The sequence below is a fragment of the Homo sapiens genome, chromosome 1, assembly GCF_000001405.40.
Source record: "Homo sapiens chromosome 1, GRCh38.p14 Primary Assembly".
In the NCBI taxonomy this organism is placed as follows: domain Eukaryota; kingdom Metazoa; phylum Chordata; class Mammalia; order Primates; family Hominidae; genus Homo; species Homo sapiens.
Genome location: NC_000001.11, coordinates 73,319,139 through 73,339,445, shown reverse-complemented (window position 1 = coordinate 73,339,445; position 20,307 = coordinate 73,319,139). Strand labels below are relative to the sequence as shown.

At 35.2% G+C, this 20,307-nt stretch overlaps 1 long non-coding RNA gene and 1 pseudogene across 1 annotated transcript in view; one reads left to right on the top strand and one right to left on the bottom strand.

Annotated features, from left to right (window-relative positions):
• LOC105378800 (endogenous retrovirus group K member 21 Gag polyprotein-like) overlaps nucleotides 1-20,307 on the top strand; it is a 213,368-nt pseudogene that overhangs the window by 3,070 nt on the left and 189,991 nt on the right.
• The window catches only part of LINC01360 (long intergenic non-protein coding RNA 1360), a 32,708-nt gene continuing 12,969 nt past the window's right edge, over nucleotides 569-20,307 (bottom strand). Inside the window, exon 4 of the long non-coding RNA NR_110676.1 lies at nucleotides 569-4,000. This is a non-coding gene — a long non-coding RNA (long intergenic non-protein coding RNA 1360). The remainder of the gene's footprint in view (nucleotides 4,001-20,307) is intronic.

Below are 20,307 nucleotides of genomic sequence, written 5' to 3'. Positions count from 1 at the left end.
AACTGAAGTACCCTATAATCCAGTTATCTCACTTTTGGACATACATTCAAAGGAACTGAAATATTACGTTGAAGGTATATCTGCACTCCTATGTCCATTACAGCACTATTCACATGACTCAAAATATAGAATCAACCTATATGTCCATCAATGAATAAATGGATTAAAAATGTGATACATTATACATGATGAGATACTCTTCAGCCTTAAGAAATAGAAAAATTCTATCATTTGTGATGAAATGAAAGAATCTAGAGGACATTATGCTAAGAGATATAAGAACAGAAAGAAATATTGCAGAATCTCATTTATTTGTGGAATCTAATAAAGTTAAACTCATAGAAGTAAAAAGTAGAATGATGTTTACCAGAGGCTGGGGGATTAGAGAGAGAGGAAAAGGAGAGTTGTTGATAAAAGGGCATAATATTTCAGACAGGTGAAACAGATTTTGAGATACATTTCACAGCAGAGTACTGTAGTCAATAATAGTGTACTATATATTTCAAAATAACTGAGAGTAAATTTCAAATGTCTCATCATAAAAAAATCAAAGGTAAGCGAGGCGATATATGTGTTAGCTTGATTTATTCATTCCACATTGTATACATATAGCAAAACATCACATTGTATCCTATAGATGTATATAATCATAATTTGTCAATCAAAAACAATTATTTCTAATTATTTAAAAGAAATAATATGCATCACTTGGAATTATTTAAAAATAAAGTTATTTAATTTTAGAAATTACTGGCAACTGAATAAACAAACATCTGCTAATGTACATATTTCAACTTAGCCTTTCTTTTAATATCTTTCTTTACCATCATATCAAATCTGTTAGTAAAAATTGATGATATATTCAAATTAGTGTGAAGAGCAGGAAATTTTTAGGCAGGTTTCCTACCATTTATTTGATCTCAGTTTTGCTATAGACAAAGTAGTTCATGTAGACAAATGATTGCTAATGAGCTTTAATGTCTTAAAATGGCCAAGAGCTAAAAGTGTCTATTCAAATTTCAGATTTGTAATCATCATAGATTGTAAGATAGTATAAAAATATTGACTCCCAGAATACATCACATTTATTTAAAACACATGAAAGCAGAAAGGAAAAACACTCAATATTAGAAAATTAAACACTAGTACTGAATCTGTTATATCACGTATAAAATATAGTACATTCAGTAACAAAAACACAAGACTAGCCAGTAAGATATCGAAAATGGAGAATTTATATCTTGTTAGTGAAGCTTTCAAAAGGGAGTGGGAAAAATTTATTCAGAGTCAACCACATAGAGCAACTCTTTTTCACATAAAGTTTCCTTGAGCCATTTCTAAAATCATCAATATTGTTGGCAAAGTTGAAATGGAAAGGCAATAGTGTTAATTGGTACTTAAAATATATAAATATACAGTGTATTTTAATCACAGGAGTGGTGATATTTTATTAAAAAATTAGCTGTAGTTTTATTACTTATTTGTCTTATTTTTTGCCATATTTGGAAGAAAAAATGGAATACAAATTGAAACAGGACTGAAAAAAGAGAAAAATTATAGCAGGACTGAAAACCTTTAGGAAAAGACTAATTGAGAAATATAGCCATTTTAAGAACTATTAAAACTACATTTATGAAATTATTGAATGTGTAGTTTTATTCATATGTGTATTAAAATTATTCTGCAGATAAAACAATGCAATATATATTGATGGTTCATTCTGTTTTCATTTTTTCTTTATATATCTCTTTTTTAGAGATTAATATAGAGCATACCTAAGACTGTATATATTAAAAGTATCTAGTTGATGGATTTCTACAAAGTCAATATTTATTTATATAATACCAAACTCAAGAAATAGAACATTACTAGCATTTCAGAAGCTCCACTAGATTTCTTTCCCAGTAATCCCCTCCCACTCACCAAATGGAAGCATTATCCTAACTTTCTGTATTCATTTTTTATTTCTGTGTAACAAATTACAATAAACTAATTGATGTTAAATAAGACAAATTCATTATCTCATAATCACTATGTGTTGGGAGTTTGGGTATAGTTAGTTTGATCCACTACTCAGAATCTCACCAGGTTACAAGCAATGCTTTAGTCATGGCTGCATTCCATTTGCAGCTCAGAGTCCTCTTTCACGTGGTTGTAGGACTAAAGTTATTGTTTATTGATTGGCTGTCCACTGGAGATCACTCGTACTTTCTAGAGGCCTCCTTCAGTTGCTTGTACCATGGCCCCCTTCATAGGGAGTTCACAGTATTGTTACTGGTTTCTTCTAGGGCAGTGGGAGAAACTCTACTTTCAAATCTTTCTCTACAGGGAATGTCTGGATTCTCTTTTAAAGAGCTCATCTGATTAAGGTTACCCAGTATGATCTCCTTTTTGATGAATTTGGTTCACTGCAAGCTTTGCCTCCCGTGTCCACACCATTCTCGGGCCTCAGCCTCCTGAGTAGCTGGAACTACAGGCGCCCGCCACCAAGGCTGGCTAATTTTTTTGTATTTTTACTAGAGACGGGGTTTCACCGTGTTAGCCAGGAACCGTGTTAGCCAGGATGGTCTCGAACTCCTGACCTCGTGATCCGCCCACCTCAGCCTCCCAAAGTGCTGGTATTACAAGCGTGAGCAACCACGCCCAGCCAAACATATATACATATGGATATATGCCTAAGAGTTATGTTTGGCTTTAAAATTTTAAAAAAATGAATTTTCCCAAAGGTTGTAAAACACTTTGCTTTTCAGTCAACACATTATGTTAGCTCTAGTTGTTCTACATTCCCACTGAAAAATTATAGTAACTGCCTTCTTTTTCATTTTTGCCATTCTGGGAGTATATGTTGGCATTATGTTATGAATTTGTATAATGACGAAGTAGTGAATTTTTTTTTCCTTTTTGATGTCTGGTATAACATTTCTGTGTAAGTCACTTGCACATTTTTGTATTTGGCTTTTTCTTATTGATTTGTAGGACCTCTATATTTTTTCAATATAATATCTTTATCAGGTATATTTATTGCAAATATCTTCTACTATTTTGTGGTTTTCCATTTCATTGTCTAACTGGTGTATCTTTAGGTGAAAAGAAATTATAATCTTAATATAGTCTGTTTTTAAAATTATTATCACTTTTTGTGTCAAACACAAAACATTGCTTTTCAAAAGTGCTTTTACCACTTCACATTCCCACATGAAGTGTATGAGTTCCAATTTTCTTCACCTTATTACAACCTAATATCAACAGTCTTTTAACTTTTAGCTTCTCTAATATGTGTGCAGTACTATCTCACTTTGTGTTTAATGTGTATTTCTGTAATGACTCAGCATCTATTAATGGCTTATTTGCCATCCACCTGTCTTTATGGTAAAGAGTTTATTCAAATATTTTACTCAATTTTAAAATAATTTGTTTTCTTTTTATTGAGTTTATAAAGCTGTTTTTAAATTTTGAATATCAGTTTGTAATAAGATATATTTTGAAATTTTTTTTCTAAGGTGTGGCTTTTCTTATTATTCTCCTCATGCATGTCTTTGAAAGAGCAGAAGTTTTTACTTTGATAAAGTCTAACTTATTCACTTGTACGCTCATGCTTTTATCATACTATCTATTTCTTTACCTAACAAAAATACATTTTTACCATATTTTCTCTTAGAAAATGTATAATTATGAGTTACTTTTATGTTTATGACACATCTTGCTTTAATGTTTTATGTGGTACAATGTTATGGATTCAAGCTCACTTTAAAAACATATATAGATATTTCATCGATTCAGAACCATTTGTTGAAAAAACTTTTTTCTCCACTGTGCAACCTTTGCAGTTTGTCAAAAACCACTATTTTTAAAAAATACAATGATAGTCTCAGTTCTGTTATGTGTCAGATTTTCCACTTAAGTGTCCAACGTTGTCTCTCCAGTCCCACAAGACCTTCAAATACTCTAATAAATTTTCTGATCTCCATCAATATTTCTCTGTCTAGACAAGATGTTGATCCTATAAAATCAGCAAATGACCAAATTAAAGAACCCCAGCACTTCACTTCTCTTATTTCTTTTACTCTCTCAAAACTCAGCAACCTTAGGCTTTGTTGCTTCAACAGGTAACTGATGCCTTAAAACAGATAGCTTTTAGAAGCCGTCTGAATTTTCTAATAGTTTTCAGTAAAATTATTGGACTGCCTTTAGCTACTCCACTCTATTTCCATTTGTCTCAGTTAGGGCTGCTATAACAAATTACCATACACATAGTGGCTTAAACAATACCATTTTATTTCTTCCGGTTCTGAAGGCTGAGATTTCTGAGATCAGGGTGCCACTACGGTCAGGTTCTGATAAGAGCCCTCTGCTTTTTCTTGGTTTGTATATGGCCATCTTTTTGCCGTGTCTTCACATAGTGAAGAGCAAAGACAGAAAGAGAGAGAGGGAAGGAGGGAGGGAGGGAAGGGGAGAGAGAGAGAGAAAGAGAGAGGGTGAGGAGTACTAATTCTATCATGAGGGTTCAACCTTCATAAATTAATTTTCCTTCTAAAGATCCCATATCCAATACCATCCCATCCCTCTGGGGATTGGGGTTTCAACATAAATTTAAGGGGGAACACAAACATTCAGTCCATAGTGTAATTCTTTTGATAATTTCTGATAAAAAATTTGACAATCTTTTATTTCAATTTTAAATTTGAGTTAATTTGACAGCCTTAGTTTTGAAAAAACAAGTACAAAGTTGAAATATGTTAGATAAAATTCCCTATTTAGTGTAGACTTTTAAGAAATGCATTAAAGCTGAATCCACCTCTGGAATGGTGGTATGGAAAATTTTATGAAACTTCTCATTAGTGAAACAACCATAGAAAGTGAAAATGATATAAAAGACAGCCATTTAAAATCTCTAGAAACTATTCTGAAGTCATACAGTAAATGAAGAAACATTTACTTCAAAAATATATTAAGCCTTGTAAAGAGAGCAAGCATCTGTGGGACTTGAGCCACAAGAAGTCCCTCTCTCAATCCCACCTCAAAGTGGCAGAAGCTCTACTCCAGTTAGGTGTGTGAACAATAAAATGTTGTGCCCTTTATCCCCAACATCTAGTAATGGGCTAATAATTAACACTTGGAGGGGCAGGTCACTAACATTTCTCATCCACCTCAGCTCTGTGTCCCACAGGTTAAATTCCAGGCAAGCAAAGCCAAAAGCTCTAAAACACCTTTCCTCTCTCATACTAAAACATATAGCAAAGGCTCTACTCTAGCTTGGAGGAGTAAAATTGGTATTTGATTGACATCACTTTAATTCATTTATCAGTTGGAGAATTTACTCTGGAAGAGGCAAGTCAGGAATACCAGAGACCACCACTTTGCCCAGCCCCCGTTTATGTGCCACATGTGTCACTCTAAGAGAAGTGGGACTCTGTTCTTGACCTTAGCTTCAGATCAGTAGCTCATTTGCTTATTTTTTTTTAATGGAAAGAGTCAAGCCATTAAAACAGATAATTCCAAAGATAAGAGAGCAGACTTTTTTGTTTTAAACAGAAAGTTGGGATATTTAACCCCAAAGGAATTCTTAAAAGCAATAAAGGTTTTGGTGATGAGCAATTAAGAAAAGTCTGGAAAGTTAAATGAGAGAAACTATTAGGCCAACTAGGTTACCAGAAGAATCAGGGAGATACACAGCTATGAAGTCTCCAAGGGTCAGAAGAAAAAAAAAAATCATAGATAGGTCTCTAAAACTACTAATGTAAGAAATACCCAATTTAGTTGGTTTGGATTTAGAGAAATTTATGCCCCAGAAGAGTCAAAAACAACAGAGCAATCATTCAGCAATTAATGGAGGCTAAAAGCTGGATATGAAACCAAAAGTGGCAGAGAGCTAATTGGAGAAATTTGAGAAGGAGTCAATTAGGAATAATTATAAAATCTGTATAGTCCCAGAGTAACTGTGCACAAGCTCAAGGCTGTGCACTATGAGAAGCACCATCAGAGGCTTCACATTATGAAGGAAATACACTTCATTAAAATATTACAGTCAAGTCAATAAACAAATAAGCAAACAACAACTATAAGAAGCCCAGGAATGGGCAGGGAGGAAAATCAATATTCAGAGTTAACAAAATATGTTATCTAAAATGTCCAGTTTTTTACTATTAATTTTAAGACCTTCAGATAAAAGAAAATGTGATGTGTAGATATGGTGAAAAAAGTAGGCAATAAAAAATGCCTATATATAGATATATGTATATGCATAGTTATATCATTATTATATACATATATAATTATATTATTATACTTCCATTATCTTTATAAACATATATAGGTATTATATATAGTATATATATTGTGTATAGTATAAATATATATAGGTATTATATATAGTATTGAAGTATATGTAGGTATCTATATAGGTATATATACAGACACCTATATGTGTTTATAAAGTTAAGGAAAGGTAAAATAATAATGTCATATTAAATATAAAATATCAATGCATATATTTTTTAAAATAACAAAATTAAAATTTCAGAGTTGAAAATTGCAACAATTGAAATGAAAAATTCACTCGAGGGATTCAACAGATTTGAATTAGTAAAGAAAGAATTAGGAAACTAGACGATAAGTCAATAGACATAATGCAATGCAAATAACAGAAAAGGAAAAATGAGCAAAGACTTAGATAAATATGAGTATAATTCGAAGCAACAGCATATATGAAATGAGAACAACAGAGGAGACAGAGAAAAAGCAACCAAAAATTTGTAGAATTAATGACCAAAAATTTCCCAAATTTGACACAACTGTTAACTTCCAAAAAGTGGAATACATAGGATTAGCACAAAAATAAAGAAATTCACACCCAAACATATCATAGCAAATATATTGAAAGATAAATTTTTAAAAATTTTGGAAGCTTCACGAAAGGGACTGTGTGCAATACAACCTCAATAAGATTAAAAGCTAATTTTTCATCAGATAAAATGAGTGCCAGAAGGAAGTGAGTTGACATATTCAAAGTGGTGAAGGAAAAAAAATCAACCAAGAATCTTGGTTGAAAACTATGTTTGAAAAATAAAGATAAGAAACATTAATTTCTTCTCAAGCATTTTTCAGATGAATAAAAGTGAGGGAATTATTTTTAGCAGAAAGTATAGGTCAATGAAGATTTTCCAATCTAAAATTAAAAAAAGAAAACAGAAAAAAAGAATTTTAAAAAGTGTTCTTTACGGACCTGTGAGACAAAATTTTGTACACCAACATTTGAAGTAATAAGCGTACCAAGAGAAGAGAAGGGAGAAAGGAGTGAAAAAATATTTAAGAAATAATGGCTGAACACTTCTTAAATTTGATTTAAAAACATGAATATGTGCATATAATGCTCAAATAGCACAAAGAAGGGTAAATACAAATGGATAGAAAACCAGATATATCATTGAAAAAATGATAAAAGACAACAATCCTTGAAAGCAGCAACAGAAAAAAATGGCTCACTATGAGGATAGAAAACCCAATAAAATTGACAGCTGACTTTTAATTAGAAGCAATGAAAGCCTGAGGGCAATAGGATGACATAGATAACGGAGTAAAATATAATACATTGTGAACCAGAAATCTTATATTCAACAAAATGATCTGTCAAAAATGAAGGCAAACTAAAGACAGTCAAAAAATAAATAAATAAATAAAGGGGAAGTTTATTTCTAGTAGTCCTGTCTTACCACAAATAATTAAAAATGTTATACATGTTTAAAATAAGAGATAATAGCCCGGGCACGGTAGTTCATGCCTGTAATCCCAGCACTTTGGGAGTCTTAGGCGGTCAGATCACGAGGTCAGGAGATTGAGACCATCCTGGCTTACACAGTGAAACCCCGTCTCTACTAAAATTACAAAAAAATTAGCCAGATGTGGTGGCGGGTGCCTGTAGTCCCAGCTACTCAGGAGACTGAGGCAGGAGAATGGCATGAACCCTAGAGGTGGAGCTTGCAGTGAGCGGAGATTGTGCCACTGCACTCCAGCCTGGGTGACAGAGCAAGACTCCGTCTAAAAAAAATAAATAAATAAAAATAAAATAAATAGATAAGAGATAATAGAGTGTCTATTCAAACTATGTAAAAACATTATTCAAGGTATTTATGGAATTATAAATGCTAAACATACATTTCTTTTCTTAGCAGATATTTAAAACAATTGTACATAAGATGTGCATAATCACATTGTTAGAACCATAACATATATAAATGTAATATAATTTACAATAATTGCACAAATGAGGTGAGAAGAGACAAAGCTGTATTGAAGTAAGAAAATGGCCATACTGCCCAAGGTAATTTATAGAGTCAATGCCATCCGCATTAAGCTACCAATGACTTTCTTCACAGAATTGGAAAAAACTACTTTAAATGTCATATGGCACCAAAAAAGAGCCTGCATTGCCAAGATAACCCTAAGCCAAAAGAACAAAGCTGGAGGCACCACACCACCTGACTTCAAACTATACTACAAGGCTACAGTAACCAAAACAGCATGGTACTGGTACCAAAACAGAGAAATAGACCAATGAAACAGAACAGAGCCCTCAGAAATAATGCCACAACTATCTGATCTTTGACAAACCTGACAAAAACAAGCAATGGGGAAAGGATTCCCTATTTAATAAATTGTGCTGGGAAAACTGGCTAGCCATATGTAGAAAGCTGAAACTGGATCCCTTCCTTACACCTTATACTAAAATTAATTCAAGATGGGTTAAAGATTAAAATGTAAGACCTAAAACCATAAAAACCCTAGAAGAAAACCTAGGCAATACCATTCAGGACATAGGCATGGGCAAGGACTTCATGTCTAAAACACCAAAAGCAATGGCAACAAAAGTCAAAATTGACAAATGGGATCTAATTAAACTAAAGAGCTTCTGCACAGCAAAAGAAACTACCATCAGAGTGAACAGGCAACCTACAAAATGGGAGAAAATTTTTGCAATCTACTTATCTGACAAAGGGCTAATATCCAGAATCTACAATGAACTCAAACAAATTTACAAGAAAAAAACAACCCCATCAACAAGTGGGCAAAGGATATGAAGAGACACTTCTCAAAAGAAGATATTTATGCAGCCAACAGACACATGAGAAAATGCTCATCATCACTGGCCATCAGAGAAATGCAAATCAAAACCACAATGAGATACCATCTCACACCAGTTAGAATGGCGATCATTAAAATGTCAGGAAACAACAGGTGCTGGAGAGGATGTGGAGAAATAGGAACACTTTTACACTGTTGGTGGGACTGTAAACTAGTTCAACTATTGTGGAAGTCAGTGTGGCGATTCCTCAGGGATCTAGAACTAGAAATACCATTTGACCCAGCCATCCCATTATTGAGTATGTACCCAAAGGATTATAAATCATGCTGCTATAAAGACACATGCACACGTATGTTTATTGTGGCACTATTCACAATAGGAAAGACTTGGAACCAACCCAAATGTCCAACAATGATAGACTGGATTAAGAAAATGTGGTGCATATACACCATGGAATACTATGCAGCCATAAAAAAGATGAGTTCATGTCCTTTGTAGGGACATGGATGAAGCTGGAAACCATCATTCTCAGCAAACTGTTGCAAGGACAAAAAACCAAACACTGCATGTTCTCACTCATAGGTTGGAATTGAACAATGAGAGCACATGGACACAGGATGGGGAACATCACACACCGGGGCCTGTTGTGGGGTGAGGGGAGGGGGGAGGGATTGCATTAGGAGATATAACTAATGTTAAATAACGAGTTAATGGGTGCAGCACACCAACATAGCACATGTATATATATATGTAACAAACCTGCTCGTTGTGCACATATACCCTAAAACTTAAAGTATAATAAAAAAAATTTTAAATGTTAAAATAAAAAATGTTCAGTTAATTCAATTGAAGGCAGTAAAAGAACAATAGAGGGAAGAAAAGAGACATGCAGCATGAATAAAGCAAACTAAAATGGCAAATATTAATCTAATTGTATAAATAATGACCATAAATATGAATGAGTTAACACGCTAATAAAAAGTCAGAAATTGTCAGTCTAAATTTAAATAAAAGTTTTGATATATACTCTCTACAAAATACGAATTTTTGATTAAGAAATACAAGTTGAACACACAAAAAGAAAGAGTATATATCATGGAAACCTCAAGAATAAGGAAACTAAAATCCCTATTAATTGGTTATATAAATATCAGAAAAAAATAGACTTGAAAGCAAACAATGTTCCTACAAATAAAGAGGGACACTTAATGAAAAGGTCTTCCACAAGATTATAGAGTAATTGTAAATATATATACACTTAATAAGAGTCCCAAAATATCTTAAATAAACCTCACATAAGAAAAACAGAGAAATTGGCAATTCAGAAATAATAGTTGAGGACTAAAATACTATACTTTCAATAATGGATATAATACCTGGTCAGATCAATAAGAGAATGGAAAATGCAAACAACTGTGTAAATCAACTGGTCCCAAAAGATAACTATAGACAGTTAACCCAAGGACAGCAGAATATAATTTTGTCTCAAGTACACATGGGATAGTCTTCAGGATAGAACACAGGTTTGGCCATAAAAACATTTCAATAAATACTAATGGATTAAAAGCATGCAAAGTACATTCTCCTATCACAATTGAATGAAGTAAATCAAAAACATAAAACTAAGACTATCACAACTTTGTCAAAATCAGTAACTACTCTAAATAATAAATCAGAGCAAAGGCACTGTGCAAAGGCACTACTAGCCAAACAGGGAATCCCACAGCCTTTTGATCCCTGAACAGCCCAGTGTTAGCTGCTGCAGCCTTTCTTTAAAGAGAGGCCAGGCATTTTATGCACCCCTAGGACAGATCCTGCAACCATGGTATGGAGGAGCAGCCAGACTACATATCATGTGACTCTCTATCTCTGCTGCTCCCCGCCAAATGATGCTTGCTTGCTTGCTTAGGCACCCAGTGTACGTGCTCCATCCCCACTGTGGCTTCTTTCCTCTGAGTTCATAAATCCCAGTGGTAACTGACAAGCCTTTTGCAATGGTTGTAGTCTCTGTCCTGATGCAGTGGGCCAAGGAGGTAAAGGGGAACCTGGGTGCTTGCCTGTGCTTACAGTACAGATATCACAGCCAAGTATGGAGAAGCAGTAGGCAGACTGCGTGACCACAGCGCCAGGCCTCTGCTGCTTCCTGCCATATGAGGCCTGCAGGCTTCTGACACCCAGCACACCAGCCCCACTACTGCCTGAACATGGCAGCCATAGCTCTACATTCCTTGGACAGCCCAACTCTCAGAGGTCACTGGCAAGCCCTTTGTGATAGCCACCCGCACCACTGTTTCTGCCACCAGTCCAGGAGGGTACAAGGAGGTTGAATACTTAAACCACTTAAATGTGTCTTCAGCACATGCATATAACCACAGCCTAGGTGTAGAGGAGCAGAAGGCAGACTATGTACTCCATGACTTCCTGCCTCCCTTACTCTGCCAAATGAGGCTGCTGGCTTTGGTGACAGGTTCCCAACTCAGCCATCCTGCCCCGGCCTGAGCACTAGAGCCATGATTCAGCTTTCTTCTGTGAGTTCAATTCCCAGCAGTCACTGCCTCTGTTCCTACCACCCCTGAGTCATGGAGAGAGTGAAGAAGCCTGACCCTTTTGCATTCCCCCAACAGCAAAATCCGGTGCCACTTCAGTAGGAGGGAAACCTGAGCATGTCATTTGCCACACAGCTGCAGTCTCCATTGGTCCAGTTAAGGTGACCCGCCTTCCCCAGTGAAAGATCCACACAGTGCAGCTGCCCTGCCCTGGCCTGAACATTTCAACTGCAGCCCAGAGCCCTTCTGAGAGTCCAACCCCCACAGACCTTTGATTTTACCTTGGCCTCCCACTGCCTGAGTATTCTGCCTGCCCCTACCTGAGAGTTCTGCCAGTGACATAGGAACCAGTCTGCCCCTCCCATCGCAGCCAGCAACTGAACTCTGGGTTAGCCCTACCCCAGTCCAACCCCTTCAGGACTTGAGTATGTCATCCAGTGGGACATCTAGTGGCCTAAGAACTAGGGAACTACCTAGCTTGGTCCAACATTACTAGCACCTAACCACATTCCCCAGGGCCTGAGGTCAGGCCAACACAACCAGCTGATGCAACCACAACTAACACCTACCCACATGGGCTGATAGTTGGAGCCCTCCCCCCACCCACCACAGTACACAGCAGTGTTACCATGTCAGAGAACAGGCAAGCCATAAAGCTGTTTGTATGAGGCTGAGTGAAGAAGTTCCACCCCAATACCACTTCCACGGAGAATCACAAAACAGGTGTTTTCTGTGGCTCTCAGTAACACTGTGGTCTGTAGAAAGACTGCAGTGTGCATCTGAACTAAGAGTGACAAGCCCTGGGACAGGGATGTGGTAGGGAAACAGATCATGTTCCTGCCCTTCTAGGATGTGGAGCCAGTGTAGCCCTCTTTCCCTTCGTAGAGACCTCAGCTTACCTCACAAGGAGCTCCCTCCGCTGTTGGGGCTGGTGCCTGTGCTCATCACTGGATGTCTGTGAGCAAGCCAGTGGGTGTAACTCTGCCAAGCTGCGCCTCACCCACCCCCAATGAAAAGGAAGCTGAGGGCACTGAGCACTCCACTGTCCATCCCGTCACCTAACAACAGAGAGCCCCTCACAGTTAACAAAGATTAAGAACACATTGGCTTGAGTCACAGCTAGAACCTACCCATACGTGCCACCTACTGGTCTGCAGGTCCAGCCTCACAGCCCAATATAAAACTTGCCTGAAGAAATGCACAGGACAATAGAAATAAACCCAAATGACCGTATCCAACATATTCTGCAATCATACTCCCTTGGGAGGGTGGGGAAAGAATAAGAACAAAAAAAGGAAAATAAAACATCTTATCTGAACAAAAATAATTTCAAAAATAAGAAGTGTCAGGCTCTCTGCATGAGAAGGGATCAGCTTAAGAATTTGAGCACCAAGAAAAATCTGAATATTGTGTCATCTCCAAAGGATTACACTACATCTCTAGCAGTAGGCCCTAAATAAAATCGAAACTCAGAAATGACAGATTAAGAATTTGGAGTATGGAGTGCAAAAAAGCTCAGGAAGACCCAAGACAAGGTTGAAAATCAACAAAATCAAATTAAGAAAGCAATCCAGGAAATGAAGGAAGAGATGAATATTTTAAGAAATCAATCAGAACTTCTGGAAATGAAAACTTCACTCAAGAAATTTCCAAATACAATGGAAAGCTTTACTAATAGACTAGACGAAGCAGAAGAAACTCAGAGCTTGAAGACAAGTCTTTTGAACTAACCCAGTCTCACAAAAATAAAGAAACATAATTTCAAAAAATGAACAAAGCCTTCAAGGAATATGGGATATGCAAAGCAACCAAACTTACAACTTATTGGGACTCCTGAGAGAGAATAAAAAGTAAGGAACCTGGAAAACATTTGAGGAAATAATTCAATAAATTTTTTCTAATCTTCTTAAACAGGTGAACATTCAGATAAGAAAAATCCAGAGAACGCCTATGAGATACTATATAAAATGAAAATCACCAAAGCATATAGTCATCATACTATCCAAGGTCAAGATTTAAAAACATTTTAAATGCAGCTAGAGAAAAGGGTCAAATTACCTATAAAGGCAAACCAATCAGACTCATAACAGACTTCTCATTAGAAACCCTACAAGCCAGAAAAGATTGGTTGGAGCCCTGTTTTCAGCCTCCTTAGATTCTTAGCCAGCCAAGCATTTTATATTCTGCCAAACCAGGCTTCACAAATGAAGGAAAAATAACATATTTCCCAGACAAGCAATGACTGAAAGAATTTGTCACACTAAACTAGACCTACAAAAAAATGCTCACAGGAGTTCTAAACATGAAAATTAAAGGATGATACTGGCTACCAGAAAAGGATACATAAGTACAAAATTCAGAGATCCCATAAATCAACTACGAAATCAAAGTTCCAAAACAAACTAGCTAACAACTCTATGTCAGAAATAGAACCTCACATATCAACATTAACCTTGAATGTAAATGTCCTAAATGCCTAATTAAAAGGCAGAGTAGAAAATTGGATAGAAATACAACACTCAATAATCTGATGTCTATAAAAGACTCATCTACTTGCTAAATACACATTCAGACTCAAACTAAAAGGGTGGAAAAATAAATTCTACACCAATTGAAAACAAAAGCAAGCAGGAGTAGTCATTCTCATATCAGATAAAATAAACTCTAAACCAACAGCAGAAAAAAAAATAAAAAGAAAAAAGACAAAGAAGGATATTATATAATGATAAAGGATTGAATATAAAAAAAGTTTTAACTATCCTAAATATATATGCACCCAATACTGGAGAACCAAGATTAACAAAACAAATACTACTAGGCCCAAGAAAACAGAATAATAGCAATAAAACTGTAGTGCAGGACTTCAACATGCCACTGACATCACTGGACAGATCATTGACACAGAAAGTTAACAAAGAAGCTCTGGACTTAAACTGGACTACAGACCAAATAGCCCTAATAGACATTTAATGAACATTCCACCCCACAGCATTCTCCTCATCTGCACACAAAACATTCTCCAAAATAGACAATATGCTTGGCCATAAAGCAATTCTGAATAAAATTCTTAAAAATTAAAATTGTATCAAGAACCTTCTCAGACCACAGTGAAATAAAATTATTGATCAATACTAAAAGGAAGTCTCAAAACTACACAAGAACATGGAGACTAAACAACTTGCTTCTGAATGACTTTTGGGTCAACAATAAAATTAAAACAGAAATGAAAGAAGTTATTTTAAACAAATGAAAATAAAGATACAACATACCAAAACCTCTGACATACAGCAAAAGCACTTCTAAGAGAAAAGTTTATTGCACTAAAAATGCCTACGTCAAAATTATACAAAAATCACATCTCAAGAAATTAGAAAAACAAGAAAAAAACAAACCTAAAGATAGAAGAAGAAAAGAAATCACAAACATCAGAGCGAATTAAATGAGATTAGGGAAAAATGATAAAGGTGATCAATGAAATAAAAAAGTTGGTTCTTTGAAATCATACCAAAATTAACAGATCACTAGCTAGATTAACCAAGAAAACAAGATAGAAAATTCGATTAAGCAAAATAAGAAAGTTTAAAGGTGGCATCACAATTGATATCAGAGAAATACAAAAGACCACCAGAGACTACTATGGACACCTCTATGCACAAAAACTAGAAAATATAGAGGAAATGGACAAATTTCTCAAAACATACAACCTCACAAGATTGAACCAGGAGGAAACAGAAACCCTAAATGGACCAGTAATAAGTAATGAAATCAAATCCACAATACAAAATCTTCTCACCAAAAAAACTCAGGACAAGATGGATTCACAGTCAAAATTTATGAGACATACAAAGAAGAGCTTGTGCCAATCTTAAGCTATTTCAAAAAAGCAAGGAGGACAGATCCCTCTCTAACTCATTCTACATATCTAATATTACTCTGATAAAAAATCAAGGAAAGCCACCACACAAAAAGAAAACTACAGACCAACATCCCTGATGGACATAGATGCAAAAATCCTCAACAAAATAATAGCAAACCAAATCCAACAGTACATTAACAATATAATTCATCATTATTCCAGGGATGCAAAGATGGTTTAACATCTGAAAATAATAAATAAACATGACCCACCACATAAACAGAACTAAGAACAAAAACCATAAGATCATCTCAATAGATGTAAAAAAAGCATCTGATAAAATTCATTATCCCTTCATGATAAAAACCCTCAACTAGTGAGACATAGACGGAACCTACCTCAAAGTAATAAGAGCCATATATAACAAACCCACAGTGCACATCATACTGAATGGGGAAAAATAAACAAATTTCTCCTAAGAATTGGAACAAGACAGGTCCACTGTTGCTACTCTTATTCATCATAGAACTGGAAGTCCCAGCCGAAGCAATCAGTCAAAAGAAAAAAAAATAAAAGGCACACAAATTGGAAAAAAAAATCAAAGTCAAATTACTTCTGTTCTCTGATTATATAATTGCATGTCTAGAAAACCCCAAAGACTCCTTTAGAAGACTTCCAGACTTAAGCAGTTTCAGTAAAGTCACAGGATACAAAATCAACATGTAAAAATCAGTGGCATTTTTATACACCAAAAATATTCAGACTGAAAACAAAATTAAGAACTCAATCCCATTTACAATAACCACAAAAACATATATACAATACTCAGGAATACATTTAACCAAGGAGGTGAAAGATCTCTGCTAGGAGAACTACAAAACACTGATAAAAGAAATCACAGATGATACAGTTGGAAAAACATTCCAAGTTCATGCATTGGAAAAGTCAATATCATTAAAATGACCACATAACCCAAATAGATCTACAGATTCAACACAATTCCTGGCAAATTACCAGTATCATTTTTCATAGATTAGAAAAAGCGATCCTAAAGTTCATATGGAACCAAAAGAAAAAAAAAATAGGCCAAATAGCCAAAGCACTTCTAAGCAAAAAGAACAAATTCAGTGGCATCACATTGCCTGACTTCAAATTATACTACAAATCTATAGTAACTAAAACAGCATGGTCCTGGTAAAAAATAGACACATACATCAGTGGAACAGCATACAGAACCCAGAAATAAAGCCACAGACATACAACCAACCAATCTTTAATAAAGTCAACAAAAAAATGTGGAAAGAACACCCTATTTAATAAACGGTGCTCAGAAAACTGGCTAACCATATGAAGAAGAATGAAACTGGACCTCTGCCTGTCACCACATACAAAAATTAACTGAAGATGGATTAAAGGCCTAAACATAAGAGCTGACACTATCAACATCATAGGAGAAAACCTAGGGAAAATACTTCTGGACATTGACCTAGGCAAAGAATTAATGACAAAGACCCAAAAAAGCAAATGCAACAAAACAAAAAATAGATAAATGAGACTTAATTAAAGTAAAAAGCTTCTGCACAGCAAAAGAAATAACCAAAAGAATAAGCAGATAACCTATAGGATAGGAGAAAACATTTGCAAATTATGCCTCTGACAATTGATGGATATTCAGAATCTAGAAGGAACTCAAACTAAAAGGAAAAAAATGAGCAACCCCATTAAAAATTGGGCAAAGGACATAATCAGATTTTTCTCAAAAAAAAAAAAAGAAGAAATACAAGTGGCCAAGAAAAATGAAAAAAAAATGCTCAACATCACTGATCATCAGAGAAATGCAAATTTAAACCACAACGACATACCATTTTACACCAGTCGGAATGGGTTTTATAAAAAAGGCAAAAAAAAAAAAAAAGGTATTGGCATGGTTGTGGAGTAAATAGAATGCTCATACACTGTTGGTGAGAATGTAAATTAGTTCAATCTCTGTGGCGAACAGCATAAATATATCTCAAATAACTAAAAATAAAATTACCATTTAACCTAGGATTCTCATTACTGGGTTTGTACCCAAAGAAAAATTAATCATTATGTATAAAAAAGACACCCGTTAGCAGGGTGTGGTGGCATGCTCCTGTAGTCTCAGCTACTTGGGAGCTGAGCTGAGAGGGATAGCTTGCTCCCTGGGATTGAGGATGCAGTGAATTGTGATCATGCCACTGCACTCCAGCCTGAGTGACAGAGTGAGACCCTGTCTCAAAAAAAGGAAAAATAAAATAAAAACTTTTATTAAAAATTCACCCGCATTGGTATGCTTATTGCAGCACTGTTTACATTAGCAAATTTGTGAAACCAACCTAAGTGCCCACAAGTAGTTGATTGGGTAAAGAAATATTAGTATATGTACACACCACAGAACACCATGTAGCCATAAAAAAGAATGAAATCATATCCTTTGCTACAATATGGATGGAACTGGATGCCATTATCCTAAGTGAACTAATTCAGAAACAGAAAATCAAATATTGCATGTTCTCACGTATAGGTGGGAGCTAAGTAATGGGTACACATGGACATAAAGATGGAGAGAGTAGACTCTGGAGACTCCAACTGGGGGAAGGGTGAGAAGGGAAATGAGAATTTGAAAAAATACCTATTGGGTACAATGCTCAGGATTTGGTTGATAGGTATAGTAGAAACCCAATCTTTACCATTATCCATGTAATCCCTAACTAACAACAAAAAAAAATATGTACTCCCTGAATCTAAAATGTAAAAAATGATAAATACAAACAACAAAAAAGAAAACATTGTTGAAATTAATTGAAGAGGACCTATATAAATGGTTCTGGTTTATTTTTTCTTTTGTTTTCTTTTCTCACTTTATCTATTTCCTGTCACATTCTACTATAAGCAGCAAAACCAGGCCATGCCTTCCACTTTTAGATTGGAAATCTCCTCAGCTAACTATTCAAGCTTATGACTTACAAGTTCTACTTTGCATCACTGAACAGAAACACAATTTAGTCAAGTTCTATGCTACTTTATAATAAAAATAGCTCTTTCGCTTTCCAACAACATGTTCCTATTTCCATCTGAGACTTCTTCAGAAGTACCTTTGACATTCATAATTCAAGCAAGTCTGTTGTTGTATTCTCTAAGATGATAGAAGCTTTCTGTACAACTTCCCTACTTCCTACTTCTTTCTGAGCCATCACCAGAATCACCTATAAAGTCCACGTTTCCTCCAGCAATCTCTTCAAGGCTTTTGCTATCAAGTATCTCAAAATTCTTTCAGCCTCTATCCAATATCCAGTCCCAAAGACACTTCCACATTTTTAGGTATTTGTTACACTAGAGCTTCAACTCCAGTACCAAAATCTGTATTCAATTTCTATGGCGGCTCTAAAAATATACCACAAATTGTTTAGCTTAAAACAATATAAAGTGTGTTGTGTAAAAGTTCTGCAGGAAAGAAATCAGAAATCAAGGTGCTAGCACAGCCATCCTTCCTCTGAGATTATGAATTGAATTATGCCTTGCCTCTTCCTAGCTTCTGGTAATGGCAAATAATATTTTGAAATCGTTGGCTTGCAGCTGCATCCCTCAGTTCTCTGTCTCTGTCATCACATGTCATGCTCTCTGTGTGCCTTTGGCTTCACATGAGGTTTTCTTCTTTTTAGAAGGACTCAAATCTATTGGATTTAGGGTTTACCCTAACTAATTACTTCTGAAATGACCCTATTTCCAATAAAGATCATATTCTTAAGTACTTGGAGCTAAGCCTTCAATATAGCTTTTCGAGGACCCAATTCAATCCGTAACAGAGCTACTCATCATGCCATGCACAAATATTAACTTGAAACAGATTGTAGACTTACATCTTAGAGCTAAATCTATGAAACATTTGATAAAATGTAGAAGTTAATTTTGGTAACATTGAATCAGGCAAAGCCAATCTCGATATGACACTAAAAGCACAAGTGACAAAAGAAAGAAGTATAAATTGTGCAACGTCAATATAAAAACATTTGTTCTTTGAAAGATGTCAACAAGGAAGTGAAAAGACAGCCTAGAGAAACAAAGAATATATTGCAAATCATATAGTTCATAAGGGACTTACATCTAAACTACATAAAGAAAAAGTGTAAATCAATAATAACAAGACAAACCAATTAAAATGGTCAAAGAAAATAGATGTTTCTCCAAAAAAAATTAATGAGGAATAAGCACCTGAAATAATTCTCAACATCATTAGTCATCAGGGGGATGCAAGTAAAAACCACAATGAGACATCTTTCAGATACACACTAGGCTGTCTTTTATTTGAAAAATGATAACAAGTTTTGGCAAGAATGTGGAGAGAGTGTGACTGTCATACGTGGCTGGTGAAAATGTACAATGGTACTGTTGCTTTGGAAGATAGTCCAGAAGTTCCAAAAAAAGTTAAACATAGAATTACCAAGTAAACCTTCAGTTATACTCCAAGGAATACACCTAAGGGAAATGAAAATATGTCCATATAAAAATTGTTCGTAGCAACATATTTTATGATAGCCAAAAAGTGGAAACGAGAAAGATGTCCATCAATTGTTAATGGATTTTAAAGATGAGGTTGATCTATACAGCATCATATTTTTCAACCATAGAAAGGAATGGCATATTGATGCATACGTAATACCAGGATAAACCTTGAAAACAGTATAAGTGAAAGAAGCCAGTTAAAAAGGAATATATATTATTGATTCCATTTATATAAAATGCACAGAATAGGCAAGTTTATAGAGACCTATTATAGATCACTGGCTTACTATAACTAGGGAGGT